Here is a 17244-nt window from a genome sequence, read left to right as displayed (position 1 = left end):
GGCATGCATTTGCCATCTGAAGTTCTATGAACTAATAGTTTTATGAATTATATAACCGATATACAAGGTTGTTGAAACATTACTGCTTTCATTTTCTAATTATAATGGCTGCCATTTTTCATTCCCACCAAAATGTATGAGGGTTCAACTTACTTCACAACCTTGTCAATACTTTGTATTGTCACTTTTTAAACATTTGTTTCACTTAGACATTTTAGTACCCTGGTAGGTTTTTAGTCATATCTTGTTAGGAGTTAAATTTGAATTTTCTAAATGACTAATGATGTTGGGCATCTTTTCATGCATGTGATTACATATGCTATACATATATATTATTTGATCAATGATCGTGTAAAACATTTGCCCATTTTTAATCTGTTTGCCGTTTGTTTTGAGAATTTCTTATTTATTCTATAAATTATATATCAGATATATGATTTTTAAACATTCATTCCAACCTGTAGCATTATATTTTTATTATAACATCTTTTAAAGAGCAGAAGTTCTCAATTTTGAGAAAGTACAATTTATAGTTACTTAACAGATCATGCCTTTAGTGCTGTATCTAAGAAATCGTTGCTAACCAAGATCACAAAAGTTTTTCTCCTGTTTTCGCTAGAAGTCTTATAGCTTTAGATATTATACTTTGTTTTACGCTTCACTTTTTAAAGATTGCATATGATGCAATGTAAAACAATATTTTGACAAAAATGTAACCTTTTCTCAATAAAGAATAGTATTCCATATTGTCTTACTCCATTTTGGCTTCTAGTACAAACTACCACAAACTGGGTGGCTTATGAACAATAAACATTTATTTCTCACAGTTCTGGAGGCTGGGAAATCCAAGATAAAGGCAACAGGAATATTTAGTATCTGGTGAGGGCCAGTTCCTCACAGACAATGTCTGTTTGCTGTATCCTTACATGTTCTCTTTTATAAAGGCACAAATCCCAATTTTGAGGACCATCCTGATAACCTAATCACCTACCAAAGGCTCCAGCTCTTAGTATGATCACTTTGGGAGTTAGGATTTAAACATATGAATTTCAGGGGAACATAAACATTCAGACCATAGCACATACACTATCACAGAATTTTAGCTGACAATGATAGTCACCTGTCAGAGACTATCAAGTTATTAGTGTTTATACAGAGCATTGGGTATCGCTACACCACACAGATTGCACTTCTGTATAGCAAAGTTCTCTTTAGAGAGAGACTAGTGGTCAATAACTAAGACTGCTTTCTTATTTTTATTTTCAAGAGTTGTCCATCACTGTGGTAACGGTCAATTTTTTTTTTTAGTGAAAACATAAGAAATATTGACTCTAGGCCGGTCGCGGCGGCTCACACCTGTAATCCCAGCACTTCGGGAGGCCGAGGTGGGAGGATCACGAGGTCAGGAGATCAAGACCATCCTGGCTAACACGAAAAAACCCCGTCTCTACTAAAAATACAAAAAATTAGCTGGGCATGGTGGCGGGTGCCTGTAGTCCCAGCTACTCGGGAGGCTGAGGCAGGAGAATGGCCTGAACTCAGGAGGCGGAGCTTGCAGTGAGCCAAGATTGTGTCACTGCACTCCAGTCTGGGCAACAGAGCAAGACTCCGTCTCAAAAAACAAACAAACAAAAAGAATTATTGACTCTAAAACTAAGAGTTATGATTTAGAAAAGATTAAAATTGATGATCATAAGAAGTAAATATAGTACCACAGCAATAACTCTGGCATTTAAAGATTTTTTTCATTCTCCTTAACTATGAAATATTCCAAAATAGTAGTAATTGAAAGATAATTTACTGAGAAATGTAGAGATAATCTTTAGGAAACAATACTACTGTCTCTACAACTTGTTTTGTCAATTGGATTAATTTATTGTTTTGTATAATGAACGAATCTTTATTTAACTTTGCTAAATTGACTTAAATTACAAATGCAATCAACATCTTTGTATTGCCACAGAACATTCCTAATTATTGCATTTGTATCAACACTTAATTGTGCAATAACTGAAAACTAGTCAGGAAAATAACATTTAAATTGATGCTTTATTTGTGAGATTTGCAAGTTTAAGACAGAGATGAGACATCTGAATGAAAACGTTTGATTCTTGGTAAGTTGTATCATTGTATCACTCATTTCCTAATCAACCAAGCTCAATATGGAAAAACAACAACAACAACAAAAAACAATTGTGTACCATTTGCTTGATTGTTATAAGTTTAGACTTTTTTTAAATATTGGAAGCATATGCCTACGGGGGGAAGATAAATAATATAATATGCTAAGTTAGATTCTTTTGATGAATTATCTATGAAATTACTTTTTAAAACATATTCTGATAGTTTAATATGTTTTCTATTTAAGATTCTCCTGATTCAAGATGAATTTAATTTGTTTTTTATATACATATGAACCTTTGGGTCACTTGGATAAGGCTTATGAGATTGTCTTATTTTTAGATAGTATTTTTTTCTTTTCCTCTGAAATTAGACTTTTTGTCCTCTCATTTCTTTATTTTTCTCTTATACTATAATGTCATCCTGGTTTTATTAATAATTCAAAAACTGGAAACAACTTGAATGTCCATCAACAGAAGAACGAATAACTAAATCATGTCATATTTACATTGTGTAATCTTCACAGAAACTATGTTAAGAAAAAAAAAGTTACCAACCAGTAGATATCGTGTTATTCCATTTATATAAAGCTCAAAACAGGCAAAATTAATTTACTGTGATAGAAATGGAGAAAACAGACACGAAATTACAAATAAATATTTGTTTCTATGGGGCATTGCTTGAAAAGATGCTGACAGGAATTGTTACTCATGATGCAATTTTTTTCATGATTGCAGTGGATGTATTTGTGAAGCTTGTTTAAGTCTGTACTTAAGATCAATACATTGTGCTCCATGTAAAATACACCTTAACTTCAGATGGTGAAGAGAGGAAAACAAAAAAAATGAATCAGAATTGCATGTCTCAGCATTTTTAAATTACTGCCTCCATAAAGAGTCTTTTTATACATTGTTTTCATTATCCCCCCCATGAAATTTCAAGACCACAAACATCTGTTTTTATATCCTCCATATATCAGTATTTTATACATAGCAATAGTATGAACATTTTTACTCCCCTCCTCCACTGAAGAACCCATTTTCACTCAGTTGGAGGTGATATTAGCCCCATTTTTATATTATCCGTATATCTGTATTTTATACGTAGTAATAGTATAAAACATTTTTACCCCCCTCCTCCACTGAAGAACCCATTTTCACTCAGTTGGAGTGATATTAACCCCATTAAGCATACACAGACTGGAGTAAGTGGTTTAAACAGTAGGTTGTCAGAACCATCAAAATGATATTTAAAAATTAATTGTAACCCCCCTACTCCAGATACACAAATAAGAAGTGGAATCAATAATTAAATTACTTCGTGAGAAATACAATTAATTTCTTTGAAAAATGTAAATAAAGAAACAGTATATATGAAAAACTATTATTTAAACTTTTAGGACAAATATTAAATATAAACAATGATGCATAAATTTTTACAGATAAAAATAAAATTTTATTCCATAGTGGTCATCTGTATTAAATATTTTGAATATCTTTAAACTGGGAGTTTATGCTGAAACAGAAATTATACCTCAAGGCCGGGCGCCGTGGCTCACGCCTGTAAACCCAGCACTTTGGGAGGCTGAGGCAGGCGGATCAGAAGGTCAGGAGATCGAGACCATCCTGGCTAACACGGTGAAACCCTGTCTCTACTAAAAATACAAAAAAAATTAGCCGGGCATGATGGCGGGCGCCTGTAGTCCCAGCTACTAGCGAGGCTGAGGCAGAAGAACGGCGTGAACTCGGGGGGCGGAGCTTACAGTAAGCCGAGATCGCGCCACTGGACTCCAGCCTGGGTGACAGAGCGAGACTCCGTGTCAAAAAAAAAAAGAAATTATACCTCAAAAAAGGTGCAACAGAATTTTATAATCTTAAAATATAACATATTGTTTCTTTAATTTACTTCATCAGGTATTTATGTATCCTTAATTATTTCCGCCATCTTCATTGCAAATTTTTCCTGAAAAAACTGCTGAATGAAAAGGCTTTTCCAACTTTTATATTACTGAGAGCTCTATATGTTCTCCCAATATGAATAACCTTTTTAACCATTTGTTTACAATAAATAGCTTTAGCTACTCATTGGCTATCAATGTTATAATTATTTATTCCGTATTTGTCTTTTATTAGTTGAATATCACTGACAAAGCTATACTTTAAACTTTTAAGCTAGTTTATAATGGTGTATCAGGCAAATGAGTATTTGGTGGGGTGTGCTAATGCAAGCTAAAAATAAACCCCATCTGTTCACCTTTCAGACTGCACTGCATTAGTACCCTGCATATTGGGTACCACATAACTTAATGAAACACAAATAAAAATATGCTTATTTCTATATCTCTAACAGTAAAAGCAAGCTGCTTTTAAAAGGGAACAATTCATGTATTATTTCCTGGAGTGTAATACATTTGTGTATTTGTCAAGATAAACTGTACATACATTAAAGCCAACAATCTAGTGTCTGTTTTAGGTCCAAGAAATAGAAAATACTTAAGAATGTATACCTTAAAATGTTGGTTATTTCTTCCAAGTGCTTGAGTAATGTAACACATTTTAAAGTAAGTGTATACCCATATATTTTTACATCAAGCATATACTAATTGAATATTTTATCAATTCGATTATATATATCTTTGTTTATGAATCATTATATTTTGTGGCTAAGTAAATCCTATTACTTCATTCATTGTATTCTTACAGTTTCCATATCCTTTTATGCATCAAAACAATTTCCTAAAATTTTCTATGCCATGAATGTTATTGTCGGGTTTTGCTGCGTAAACAAGTCTAAAAATAAACATAAAGAATTGTACTTTTAAAAATAACTTTGATAGAATTAAATAATAAACATTTTGTTAAAAGCATTTTACAATTAATACTCAGATATGCTGTATATGTCTACATTTATATATTCAAATGTATTCATATATTATTTCCTGTAGACATCTAATTATTCCATGATCAGGAGACAAATTTACACTTAATTCGTCACAGGTTTTTCATCTGTTTATCATCATTTATCAATGCTGATAGCATTTATTGAACTACTGAGATCACAACTATTATTTGAAGCATTTGATTTTGAGACATAACATCACTCAGTGTAAGGAAAGGACAGTACTTTCTGGTTTATGCTTAGTATTCCCCTGGATGTCAATTGATACTTATTTTTGTCTCTCAAAAAAGATTTATTTTCTTTTGCAGTGACTACATTCCTTTCTTTGTCTTTGACAAGCCTAGGTATAATCATATTCTCTAGAACTTCTCCCTTCAATTTTCCTATTCATTCATGCACAGATATTTTAATAAAAACTCAAATAACCTAAGATGCCATTGTGCAAGGCATTGTAGGAAATACCTGTACTCTAGTAGTAGAAAGATTCTGAATCATCTCCTGTTAACTTTTGCTTCTGTACGAAATTATTTGATTCCTCACACCACATTGCTTGGACTACGTAACTTATATTTTATTCCTTACCCAAGCCACTTGTCCAATGGCCAGTTTGACTCTTTTATTTAGTTTAATAGAGTGCCAAAATAATCTATTTTTCAAATAAAGACATTTTAATGAGTTAAATGGAGCACTAAATATTAAATAAACTGAAAAAAATAGTATAAATTATCAAGACTGTCCTGGAAAAAACTTGGATGCATAGTCAATTCAGTCTATAATCACATGAGTACAGGATTTTAGATATCCGTTCTTCAGCCCCACACAGAGTGATGCCAATTGAATCCCAGTACTTCTCTCTTGACCCAGAGACAAACCAAATAATCCACCATTAACTGTATGTACCCCTCAGAGAAATGATTGTAATGTTTCTCAAATTATCATTTATCTACTACTTTTCTGTTCTGTATAATGAGAACTTTAAGTCAATTTTCCTTCCTTAAATAGGTCAAATACACTCCTCTGATTTAGACTTTTCTACAAGCTCTCAGCCGTGTTCAAAATTCTATCACTTATGTTCTTACCTCTAGAAGTCTTGAGGAAACAGTAGATAAATCCCTATACATGCTATGCTTCAATAAGAAGATTATCAATGAGTAGGAGAAAGGAGAAAGATAAGTTTTTCTTTCCGAGCAAATATTTATAATTTTTATTAAAGATCAAAAATGCTTATATTTTGAAGGAAGTGTCATTAATGAAAAATCCTTATTTATTTTAGGAGTATCATAGGATTTAGGATTTCTAAGCTTTAAGAGAAATATAATCAAACTGAAAACAAACCAAAATGGAATCGATTGCCTGAATGGACAATCTCTTTGAGTGCCATTCTAAATGCATGATAAGCATTTAGAAATGATTCCCACTGCTGTGGGAACAGCCGCAATATTTCAAGGCAATGAATTTTAAAATCAAAGCCAAAGATGTAAATAATTTTGCGTCTAATGTTTTGTGAAATAGAAAACACTTAAGTCTTTAAATAAAAAAAGAGTGGAGAATTGAGACAAATATTTTTCACCAGCTGGACTATATTATAACATAATTACAGCACTTAGGATAACATAGTGTAGGAAACAATACTATTTTATTGAATTATCTAAAGATTTCTGAGGGTATTTAGAACTAAGCTGAGGTGATGTCCAGGTGAAAAAAAGAACACATTATTATTATTGTTGTTGTTATTTTAGAGACAGGGTCTTGCTTAGTTGCCCAGGCTGGAGTGCAGTAGTGTGATCACAGCTCACTGTAACCTCAAACTCCTGGGCTTAAGTGATCCTCCTTCTTCAGCCTTTCAAGCAAGTAGGACTGCAGGCACATACCACCATGCGTAGCTATTTTTTAAAATTTTTTTTGTAGACATGGGTGTCTTCACTATTTTGCCTAGGCTGGTCTCAAACTCCCGGCCTCCAGCAGTTCTCCCGCCTAGGCCTCTCAAAGTGCTGAGATTACAGGCCCAGGCCAAAAGACAGGTTATTTTCAAAGAAACATAGCATTATACAATTTAGCGTTCAATGTATAAAGTAGTATTTATAAAGTACAGAGCAGAGCAACTTTTCAATGCCCATCTTAAGGTGAGTATATATATTACATATTTACAACTGGTGTATAATACTTTAGAAAGTGGTATTTACTGATAAGTCAAATGCCAATTGCCAGTGCCATTTCATGACAGTCATTGTCTGTCAAAGTATTTTTCGTTTTAGTAAAAATACGGATTTTTTTCAAAAATAAAAGAATTTCAATACAATATGATGGAGTTTATTTGAGATGTTTTTCTTTGACATGAACCAGCTCCTTCATTATCACTCTTTTATTGGGCTCAACCATTTTTCTATCTTTTTGGATGTGTCTTCTCTTATTTTATTTAGTAATTCTATATATTATTTCAAACTTCTGTACCTTGTAAAATTGCACCCTATCAAATGTGTGCTATCCTGCAGAACTTAAACATTTTATTGTAATTGAGAAACATTACCTTGTATCATTTTCTTCTTTCACAATTTTGATAAATTAGAATTAGTAGCCATGTGATTTTACTGAAGAGTTACTTAAAAGCACTTTCCTTTATATAACTTTCATTGTATAGAAAAGAATATGTGTATTAAAATTATTATTTACATCATATGAAGTATTTCAATCAGAAAAATAGATAAAATCATTTTGCTGGAGGCAACTCATTAGGTAGACAAGATCTGCCAGTAACAAGTGGACAGTCCATTTACCACATAGAAATCTTCCATAAATGATGTGCTTAAGAGGAAAAGTGTCCAGTGATAAATTTATATATATATGGAAACATTTATATATGGAAAAATTCTACTGTATTAATATATAATTTAATTTAAAATACATGCATATATATTTGCATCTGACCTAATTTAATAGAGCTTAAGTTATGCCAGTAAAGCTTCAGTATTTTTGTGTTTCTTCTCTGAAGCCCTGAACTGCTATTTCTAGTGGATAGTAGCAAAATAAAAGTTAAGTGAAATATTCTTATATTGCAGTTGGACAACCTGCTATTGATTTATGGTATGACTAATGAACCAACATGAAGTGGTGAATTACTGGAATAGAATTGAGATAATGCTGTGTTATTCCTGGATGTGAGTTATAATAAAATTACTAGTATTAAAGGAAATTGGATATTTTTCATGTTTTAAATTGAAGGGAAACAACATTTTAAACCATCAAGAGCAAACCAGCTTTTTAGTAAAACTATATTTTGGGACATGGTATTGTAAAACATATGCCATTGAATAATATCATAGATTGTTGCATGTTGTTGAGTTCCAAACATTTAGTTCAAGAGTGTGTGTGTGCATGTTTAATGTTACTATAACTTAGAAACCATATATGTATATGTATATACATATACAAAGACATGTTGCACTTATGTACAACATATGTATATACATTTATTATCTGTGAGTATGAGTATGCATGAATTGGCTAAAGTTGTATTTTATTACCCTGATACAGAGCAACTATGAAATAGATCACTATCTTTGAGCTTGTTAATAATCTGCTCTGGCTGGGCACAGTGGCTCACTCCTCTAATCCAGCACAAGAGGATCGCTTGAGCCCAGTAGTTCAAGACGGGGCAATATAGGGAGACCCTGTCTCAAAAACAAACAAACAAACAAACAAAAAAAACAACTAGCAAGGCATGTTGTCTTACGTCTGTAGTACCAGGTATTTGAGAGGTTGAGGTAGGAAGATTGCTTGACCCCAGGTGTTTGAGGCTTCAGTGAGCCAAGATCACACCACTGCACTTCAGCCTGGGCAAGAGAGGGAGATCCTGTCTCAAAATAATAATCATCATCGTCTACTAAATAATATTTTATGTAAGTGAATTATACTGGCTATAATTTTAGATCAGGAAGGACAGATTTGAATTCTGTGACCTTTGATGCTTTGATGAGATATTTTTTCACTCGCGTCCGTGTGAAGAGACCACCAAACAGACTTTGAGCAACAAGGCTATTTATTTCACCTAGGGGCAGGCGGGCTGAGTCCGAAAAGAGTCAGCGAAGGGAGATAGAGGTGGGACCATTTTATAAGATTTGGTTAGGTAAAGGAAAATTACAGTCAAAGGGGAGTTGTTCTCTGGCGGGCAGGAGTGGGAGTCACAAGGTGCTCAGTGGGGGAGCTTTTTGAGCAGGATGAGCCAGGAGAAGGAACTTCACAAGGTAATGTCATCAGTTAAGGCAAGGAACCGGCCATTTTCACTTCTTTTGTGGTGGAATGTCATCAGTTAAGGCAGGAACAGGCCATTTTCACTTCTTTTGTGATTCTTCAGTTACTTCAGGCCATCTGGGCCTATATGTTCAGGTCACAGGGGATGCAATGGCTTAGCTTGGGCTCAGAGGCCTGACATATTTAGCTACTCTGTGCCTTACTTATCTGCAATATAAGTATATAGTATGCATATAGAAAGATGATTTTTCCAAGATTTGAACTTTTATGGCTTTTTACAGCAAAACATTCTCTGTGCTTTTTTTTTTTTTAATTACCTTTTCTACTGTAACTCAGTTTCTTACAGGGCTAGATTAGAAATTGGTCTTCTGTAGTCATTAGCATAAAAGCTAAAATTAGAAATCCCCGTGAGGGAACATAGAGAAGAATAGATCACCAAAGAAACAAGAGTTTAGTTATTAGCTTTATCATCTCCTTATTTGACCAAAAATTTTGCTGAACATTTTAAATTTTATGATACCATAATTATGTTGGCAGTTGGGAACAAAAAATTCCAGTGCCTGTCATTGTTTAATTGCAAATTAAAATTATGTTCTGAGTTGTATTTAAATCTATTTTTTAAAGGAATGGTAATGATAGATAACATTTACTGAGTGTATACCATGTGACAGGTACTATGCTAGGTGTGTAGCAAGGTCAATCATATTTAATTCTCAGAGTAACAGTACAAATTTGGTTATATTATATGAGCCTGGAAACAGACTTAACTCTGAAAAACTGACACTTTGAGCAAAAGAATTAAATCTCATAAAATTATTGATCAAGAATATCTTAATCTATTTCTCTGCCTCAAGTCTTGGCTCTACATAAAAGCTTCCAGAAAAATAAAGATGTATTATTAAAAAAAAAGAAAAGAAAAGAAAAGAAATGAAAAACCTTCAGGGAAAGCAATTAACTTTCTTCCCTTAGAGCTCAAGCAAGTTCTAATGTAAGCAAATTATTTTTCTATCTAGATTTTTTACTTTTTCTTAACCACATTCTAAGACTATAGCCTTTCTAACTTTCATGAAAATCATAAAATATCCATTTATCAGATTTTACATGACAAATTGTCATATATACATATATATATGAGATTTGAAAAATATCAATGCACAATAATTGGCAGCACTGCCTTTATTTAAACTAATGGCAAGAATAATCCAGTTATGAGAAGTCAGAACGTTTAAAACCCTGGTAAACAGTTACAGATAGTTTAACTGATTGTAATGAAAATGCAGAAGGTAATGGTCACAGCACATGGCTTTGCAAATAAATGACCTGGAAAAGAATAGAAGGGAGAAGAGGGAGAGGGGTAAGGGAGAGGCCCAAGTTACAGGCAGCCTGGACACTGGAGGTACTAAATCCGTTGTGGTAAATGTCCCACAGTGCAATACTTCAATCTTCTTTCTTTCTTTTTGTATATATATATATATTTTTAATCGAGACAGGGTTTCACCATTTTGGCCAGGCTGGTCTCGAACTGCTGACCTCAGGTGATCCACCGGAACCTGGCCTCCCAAAGTGCTGGGATTACAGGAGTAAGCCACCGTGCCTGGCCAAATTTAGGGGCAGAAACCCCACGTTTCAGCCCCAGTCTTCTTTCTTGTTTCTCCCTTGTCACTGCCTCAGATTTGTCGTTTTGTTTGATTTTTATTTTATTTTATTTTTTGTTTTTCTATTTGGCTATTTTCAGGAACAAGTACTATTCAAGTCTCTATCTTTCCATTTTGTCCCTTTCACTTCTTATTCTACCATTTCTGAAAAGAAATCAGTTTCTTCAGTGGAACATAGGCAGTAAGCAAGGTTTTTTGTGGTTACTAAAAAAGGAAAGGTTATTATTTTTTTTAAATTGCACAAGGCAATACCCAAAATAGCTCCTCCCTTTAATAGTCTTAACGCATATAGTTTTCTGGTTGAGCTGTAAGATATTATTGCCAATAACCTTTGCTTTATTTCCAATAAAAAATGTAGTAACTTTAAGAGTTTCCCTTGCAGGTTTCACCTAAAGTGAGGATTAAATAACGAATCCTCCATATATGGAGAAAGAGGGCAAGCACTATAACTGATATATTTTACAATATTTAACTTTATAACTAAGCCATAGTTTTTCAATAAAAATAGAAAATAAGCAAAATAAAAATAATAAAAACAAATAAAACCTGGAAACTCCGAGAATATTTTAAATGATCTCTATGTAAAGCAGAAAAATAACTCAAAAATATCAAAGCATAAAGGTATTACTACAAAAAGGAGACTATTCAATGTCAGAAAGTAAATGCTGAAACAATAAAATTGTATCTGCATACTATTTTACAGAGTTTCTTTGATTATCTACAACAAAAATAATGAAAATGAACTAAGTATGAGACCTAAATTGGAAAAGAAATAATAAAATAAGTGCAAAGAAAATAGAAGGACACAATTACAATTCTGATCTTGGTAGAAAAAATAAACAGAAAACATACACAATTGAGAATAAGAAATAAAAGACCACTAGAAGGGAAAAGGTATATTTAAGTGTGGAGCTAGCTGAAGCTTAATTATCCTTTTCTTCTGCCTTCTAAATGCAGAAGAAAACTTGAAGCTATGTCTTGTGATTTAAACCTTGTAAGACCATTTGGATTTAACTGAAAAATACAGATTAGATTTCAAATATTCTCTGAGTAATTAAAAAACAATAACAAAGTTTTACTTTGCTTTCTTTCACAACTATGGAATGTCACTGTCAATTTCAGTTGCATATGGAATAAATTTTAAATTTAAAAGTTAAAATGAGCATAACAATGTGCATTTCTAGCTTTGCCCATTATTATTATCCTGCAGATATATACAGCAAAGTATACACAAATAAAATACATAAGATCAATCTAAGATTGCTTGTTCCTGAAGGGAAATTAATCTACTTCTCAAGTTGTTACTTTATTTTTTGAGGGAAGAAAATGTCCTTCAATAGGAAGAATAATGGGAGCCATTCAAAGGAGAATTTAATGTTTTGAACTACAAAGGTATTATGGTGTATCCTTAATGCCTACCACTACATACCCTTCACTACTGTGAAAATATGTGTTCAAAACGCATATTTTAATGTCAAAATCATCCAATAGTTTTCAAAGCAAGTGCTTCATTTTATGTCAGAGAACATTTGCTTAATCTGTGAGGTTTGGTTATTTATACTGTATTTGTGCATGTCTCAAGAAATACAAGGTTCATATGATCAAGTGCAATACTTTCAATTGAGAAAATTGCACAGTGTTTCTTTTCTTTATGATATCATAAAGTATATGCAAAAGCTGTAAACCTAAGCCCTAATTAGCATATTGTATCAATTAAACAGTGAAAATTAGATAATAAATGAGTCATTACACATGTCAGAAAAATGAGAGAAAGGTATTTGCATCAGGCCCTTCCCTACAGACTCTTTTGATGTCTATCTGAAATAAATACGATGAGATAAATTCCATGTTGATCACAAAAGGGAAATCATTTTTTTATTTTTATTTTAGTGTTCTTCCTTGTATAGATACCTTGTAAAAAATGTTATAGTTATATTTTACACAGAATAATGAATAATCTATAGTTATACATACCAACCACATGGGCATTGTATTGGCAAACAAAGAAATCTTTGGTCAATTGACTTAAAATACATGTAAATAATACTTTTCTGGCTTTGATCTTCTACAACAATCTGGAAATTGTGTTATATAATTCTCAAATTATGTGGCAATTCTAAGAGATAGGTGAGAGATTTAAAACAATTTTATTTGTAATTTATATATTAAATATTCATGTCTAGTTCGCTAAAGTTAGTAAAATTAACTTTTGAAGAGCATCACACACTCAAGAAGTGTACTTTAATAATCACTAAAACAAAAAAATATGTAAAGGTGTAAATGACCCTTTGGAAAAGAACTTCAACTCAAGAAAATATTTTAATGGCTTTATATTTTCTTGCATTTCAAAATGGTTTGTAGACACAAAAACAAAATATGAAAACATGTTAGTATATTTATAAAATTACATTTAATTTTTGTAAATCTGATTCAAAACCAAAGACTTGTAGTGCTGAAGAGGATCGTTTTATCAAAACTGCATGCAATTTTTTTTTACATTTTCTTCTAACTTCCTAGTCCGATTGATAATACACATCTCCTACACAAATAAGTTTTTAAACCATTTAAAACATGTTTCATACATTTTAAATACATAACACATGAAATGTATTCAATATAATGCAGTAGTACATATAGAGTGCTTGAGTAAAATACAGATAGTGATTGTAGAGCATTATCGGAAAAACTAGAACAGTAATCAAATGGTGTGGTTTATAAAATCTAACGTGCAAACATTTCAAGGTGAGGCTTGTGAGTTTTAATGTATTTTCTTCTTTTTCATGAAAATAATTATTTATTTAAAGAGAGGTTCACATTACACTGAAGTTTTCAATGTTTAAGGTCTAGAAAACTCTCAAGACTATTTATAAATTAACTTACTGCCTAAAACAAGCAATCATCCAAATAACCTCAAACATATCAAATGAGTTTATCCAAATCTTAAAATGTTGAAATGATGATCCTCAAAAGGACTTAACCAGACCCTTGCAAAAGGAAGGGAGGTGTGAAATATTTAGAGAAGAATGTGATTTTCTTAGTAAATCAAACTTTGAAGACTCTTCAGTTGTAGCCATTGCTAGAGAGTCATGGTAAAGCTTCTTATTAACTTGGAGATCACAAACTTTCATAAAAAATAAAGATAATTCTTCAAGACCATAGAGTCTCAGTTAACTGTGATAATGATGTTAACCACATATATAATTTAACATTGTTGAGTGGCATATTTATAAAGGTGAAAGGAAACAGGTGAAATTAATTTTAGTATTCAAAATATCATGTTACCATATAATCAGCATAAAAATTATTGAAGCTATATGACATACATTTTCAACTAAGTTTTGAGATCTAGTGTGTATTTTACACTTACACATATCTGAATTTGTATTGGACAATGTGTCACTATGATGTATGAGTGAAACTTCAGTGTCAAAAAGTTACATATCATATGCATCTGAAATTCTCTGATCTGAGAGAATGAAGCTCACTCTCACTTTGACTGTTCCATTACTTTTCTTTTGTTAAACATGTTTGGATTATGCTCTCTGTTTAGATGTTATTTCATTAAACTAGTGAATTTTTGTCATTTGCAGCCTTTGATAGATTAGAGGATCCTTCAATAATTCAGATCTACTTTAATTTCATTATTTATCCATATTTGATTCTGCATATCTTCACAAGCAGCCTAGACACTGGATTTTCAGTGTAGTTTCCTAAAGCCTAAGGGTCATTGCTAAAATCTCCAAACATCAAAAATACTGAGTCACAATGTCAAAACTTTTCTGATTATAGAAGATGCCAGTTTCAAAGACAGCTTTTTTCATAGAGATGAAAGCCAAAAAAAAAAAAAAAATCCTATAATATTTCAATATAAATATTTTGAGAATTTTTCTCTGAAGATAATTGTTTATAATTAAAAATTGTCAATATTAAAAAAATTCAATTACCATGGATTAAAAATAGATGATAAATCTGAATACTAAAATACATTAATGTATGGAATAGTTATATGTCATATATTCCCAGCAAAGGAGATTCTATTTGTTGATTTTGATTATGAATGGTTGAAATTTCCCATTTATTCTTTACCTCAAAATATTGTCCTGTAATTACAATTTCATTGTGCTAGCCTTAACTGTTAGAATGATTTCCAAATTTGTTTGCATGCTACTAGGACATAAGATGTCATGAAAGTTACAATCCTTTGAATATAATTTTATTCAATTTATTTATTCAATTTATTCAATTCTATTTAAAATGTTTTATTCATAGTAGTATTTTTTGAACATTATAGATAAGAAAAAGAGGTTAAAAAACATGACCTTTCATTTGTCACTGTTTGGCTTTTGCATTGTGAAAGATGTGTTTAACCTTTTATTTCCTAGAGCAGAAACTATATAAAGGTATGTGAGTTGTGTAATAGCTATAAGTGAGCTCCTTACGCCTCCAGGAAAGTACTCTGACATTCACTATTTAAGGCTTCAAATTTGTGCTCTTGTAAAGGTCAGAGACCAAAGAACATTTTCAAGGCACTTAGTAAGTGGAGGAAAATTTTTGCAATTTGTTGAATGCTTCTTTTGAGCGTTAAACCAATAAAAATGCATGTAATTTGTTAACATCACAATAAAAATGTCTTTCAGGAAGAGTTGATCCATAAGGAATCTATGTGACATGTAAACTTAGAATCAAAATTTTAATTACAGAGAAAATATTAGGCATCTCTCAAAAGTGTGTATCACCATTTCTGGGATTACAATTTCAATTCCCAAACATACCCAAAGAATTTAATATATTCTACACTATTAATCAAGTGCTTGGTCACAATGATAATACAAACCAATATGCCAGAAAATCTTTGTTAGTATATTCCAAATCCATTTTTTCTTAGTAATTTTAGGCTTTCAAAGACAAAACAAAACCCCAAAACCCTGCCAACAACAAATAAGCCATCAAGAAAAAAAATAAAAACATTTTCAGATTGTTTATGAACACACGGTGCTAGCCTTTCAGGGAATAACTCTATTAAATAGTTGCTCTTTTGTTTTGTTTAAACATACTCTTAGCTCAACTATATGTCAAAATATTCCTTAAGATTAAAATAAGGTAGTGTTTTATATTTCATTTCTAATAAGAAAAAAATATATAACTTTTTGTGTTTAGCAGTGGTGTTTGCATGAACAATTTAAATTATAACAAAAGAACTTTGTTTTCCAGAAGAAATATATACACATTGGAAGGTTCCATATTTGCCCGTCAAAGGAAGTAGCTGCCATATTTTATTATATACACCAATCTCTCTCTTTCTATCTATGCCCTGGTCTCTAAATGCATATGTAAATGTAAATTACAATAAATGTGAATAAAATTCTTTTAAAAAAATTGCAGGTTTGAGTGACACCGTTACCTTGCAATATTATTAACACAAAACCATGAAGTGATTTTTAATTGTTCCCTCTAAATTTTACCATTTATGGAGATTTTCCTCAAGTAACTGATTCTTCCAACTAAAGTTTCTAACATTAGTTGTTTTCGTTTATTTTTCAATCTTTTCACTGACAGTTGATAAACTCACTACTTCATGTCATTTCCTTTAGTCCCCAGTTTTGGAAAATTATAAAAAATAAATTTATATTTTTAAGTATATACAGAAGTGGCAAAATATAAAGAAAGCAAGAAGTAATAAGAAAAGTTAAAGTATTTGTTGTCATTCCAGGAGGAGAAGAGAGAAATAATCTTATAAGGCCTCTTGAAGGGCAGGCTATAAACCTGGCAATATTGTATTTTTCAGGCTGGAAGTTTGCTTTGTAATTATTCATTACATCATCCTTTATGTATTGTGTACTTTTCTATATGCGTAAAATATGTCTTAATACAAAGAATTTAAACACTCATGTTCTCTCCAGCGGAAAAGAACATCAAATATAAGAAGAAAAATATCACACTATTCTCAGTCTTCTCTAAAACAGAGCTCAATGTGAAAAGAGTAAAAAAAATTTTAGAGTTCAGAAAAATAAAACAAACCTAATCACTGTATTTCCTTCATTTATAAAGAGTATAGATATGCCTAAAAATGCACAACATTGCATACTACCTTTTAAAAAGAAAGCTATTTGATAATAAGTTAAATAATACAAGATAAAGTGATTGAGATAGATTGGTGATGGAGATGAAATTGTAGAACTAAAACATGTGGAAGCTACAGATACAGATCAAATTGTACAGTTTTGTACATACATCCAGATGAGCTAACTTATACCATAGTAATATTTGCTGAAATATCTCAGTGGCTTAGCACAACAAACAGTATTCATTTCTACCACATTAA

At 31.7% G+C, this 17244-nt stretch overlaps 2 long non-coding RNA genes across 4 annotated transcripts in view, besides 2 other annotated features; one reads left to right on the top strand and one right to left on the bottom strand.

The window, feature by feature from the left end:
- LOC102724340 (uncharacterized) overlaps window positions 1-17244 on the bottom strand; it is a 246221-nt gene that overhangs the window by 228260 nt on the left and 717 nt on the right. The window contains exon 1 of one of the 3 annotated variants that reach the window (XR_001739818.2): window positions 3655-3697. The exons of the other annotated variants lie outside the window; for them this stretch is intronic. This is a non-coding gene — a long non-coding RNA (uncharacterized LOC102724340). Of the gene's footprint in view, window positions 1-3654; window positions 3698-17244 lie in introns of those variants that run through there. 3 annotated transcript variants of the gene reach the window in all.
- Window positions 3806-3979: a silencer, noted in NCBI's record as "fragment chr2:185068979-185069152 (GRCh37/hg19 assembly coordinates)". NCBI's record gives its function as "represses an EF-1alpha promoter that drives an FKBP-Casp9 reporter gene in an ReSE screen in K562 erythroleukemia cells {active_cell/tissue: K562}" and the evidence as "EXISTENCE:reporter gene assay evidence [ECO:0000049][PMID:32094911]".
- LOC105373777 (uncharacterized) overlaps window positions 3949-17244 on the top strand; it is a 63555-nt gene continuing 50259 nt past the window's right edge. The window contains exon 1 of the long non-coding RNA XR_923654.2: window positions 3949-3973. This is a non-coding gene — a long non-coding RNA (uncharacterized LOC105373777). The remainder of the gene's footprint in view (window positions 3974-17244) is intronic.
- Window positions 8990-9573: an enhancer, noted in NCBI's record as "OCT4-NANOG hESC enhancer chr2:185063385-185063968 (GRCh37/hg19 assembly coordinates)". NCBI's record gives its function as "activates a minimal SCP1, AML or CMV promoter by ChIP-STARR-seq in naive H9 embryonic stem cells {active_cell/tissue: H9 hESC(naive)}" and the evidence as "EXISTENCE:reporter gene assay evidence [ECO:0000049][PMID:30033119]".

The sequence above is a fragment of the Homo sapiens genome, chromosome 2 (genome assembly GCF_000001405.40).
Source record: "Homo sapiens chromosome 2, GRCh38.p14 Primary Assembly".
In the NCBI taxonomy this organism is placed as follows: Eukaryota; Metazoa; Chordata; class Mammalia; order Primates; family Hominidae; genus Homo; species Homo sapiens.
The sequence above is the reverse complement of the archived record's forward strand: the minus strand, read 5'-3'. Positions and strand labels throughout refer to the sequence as shown.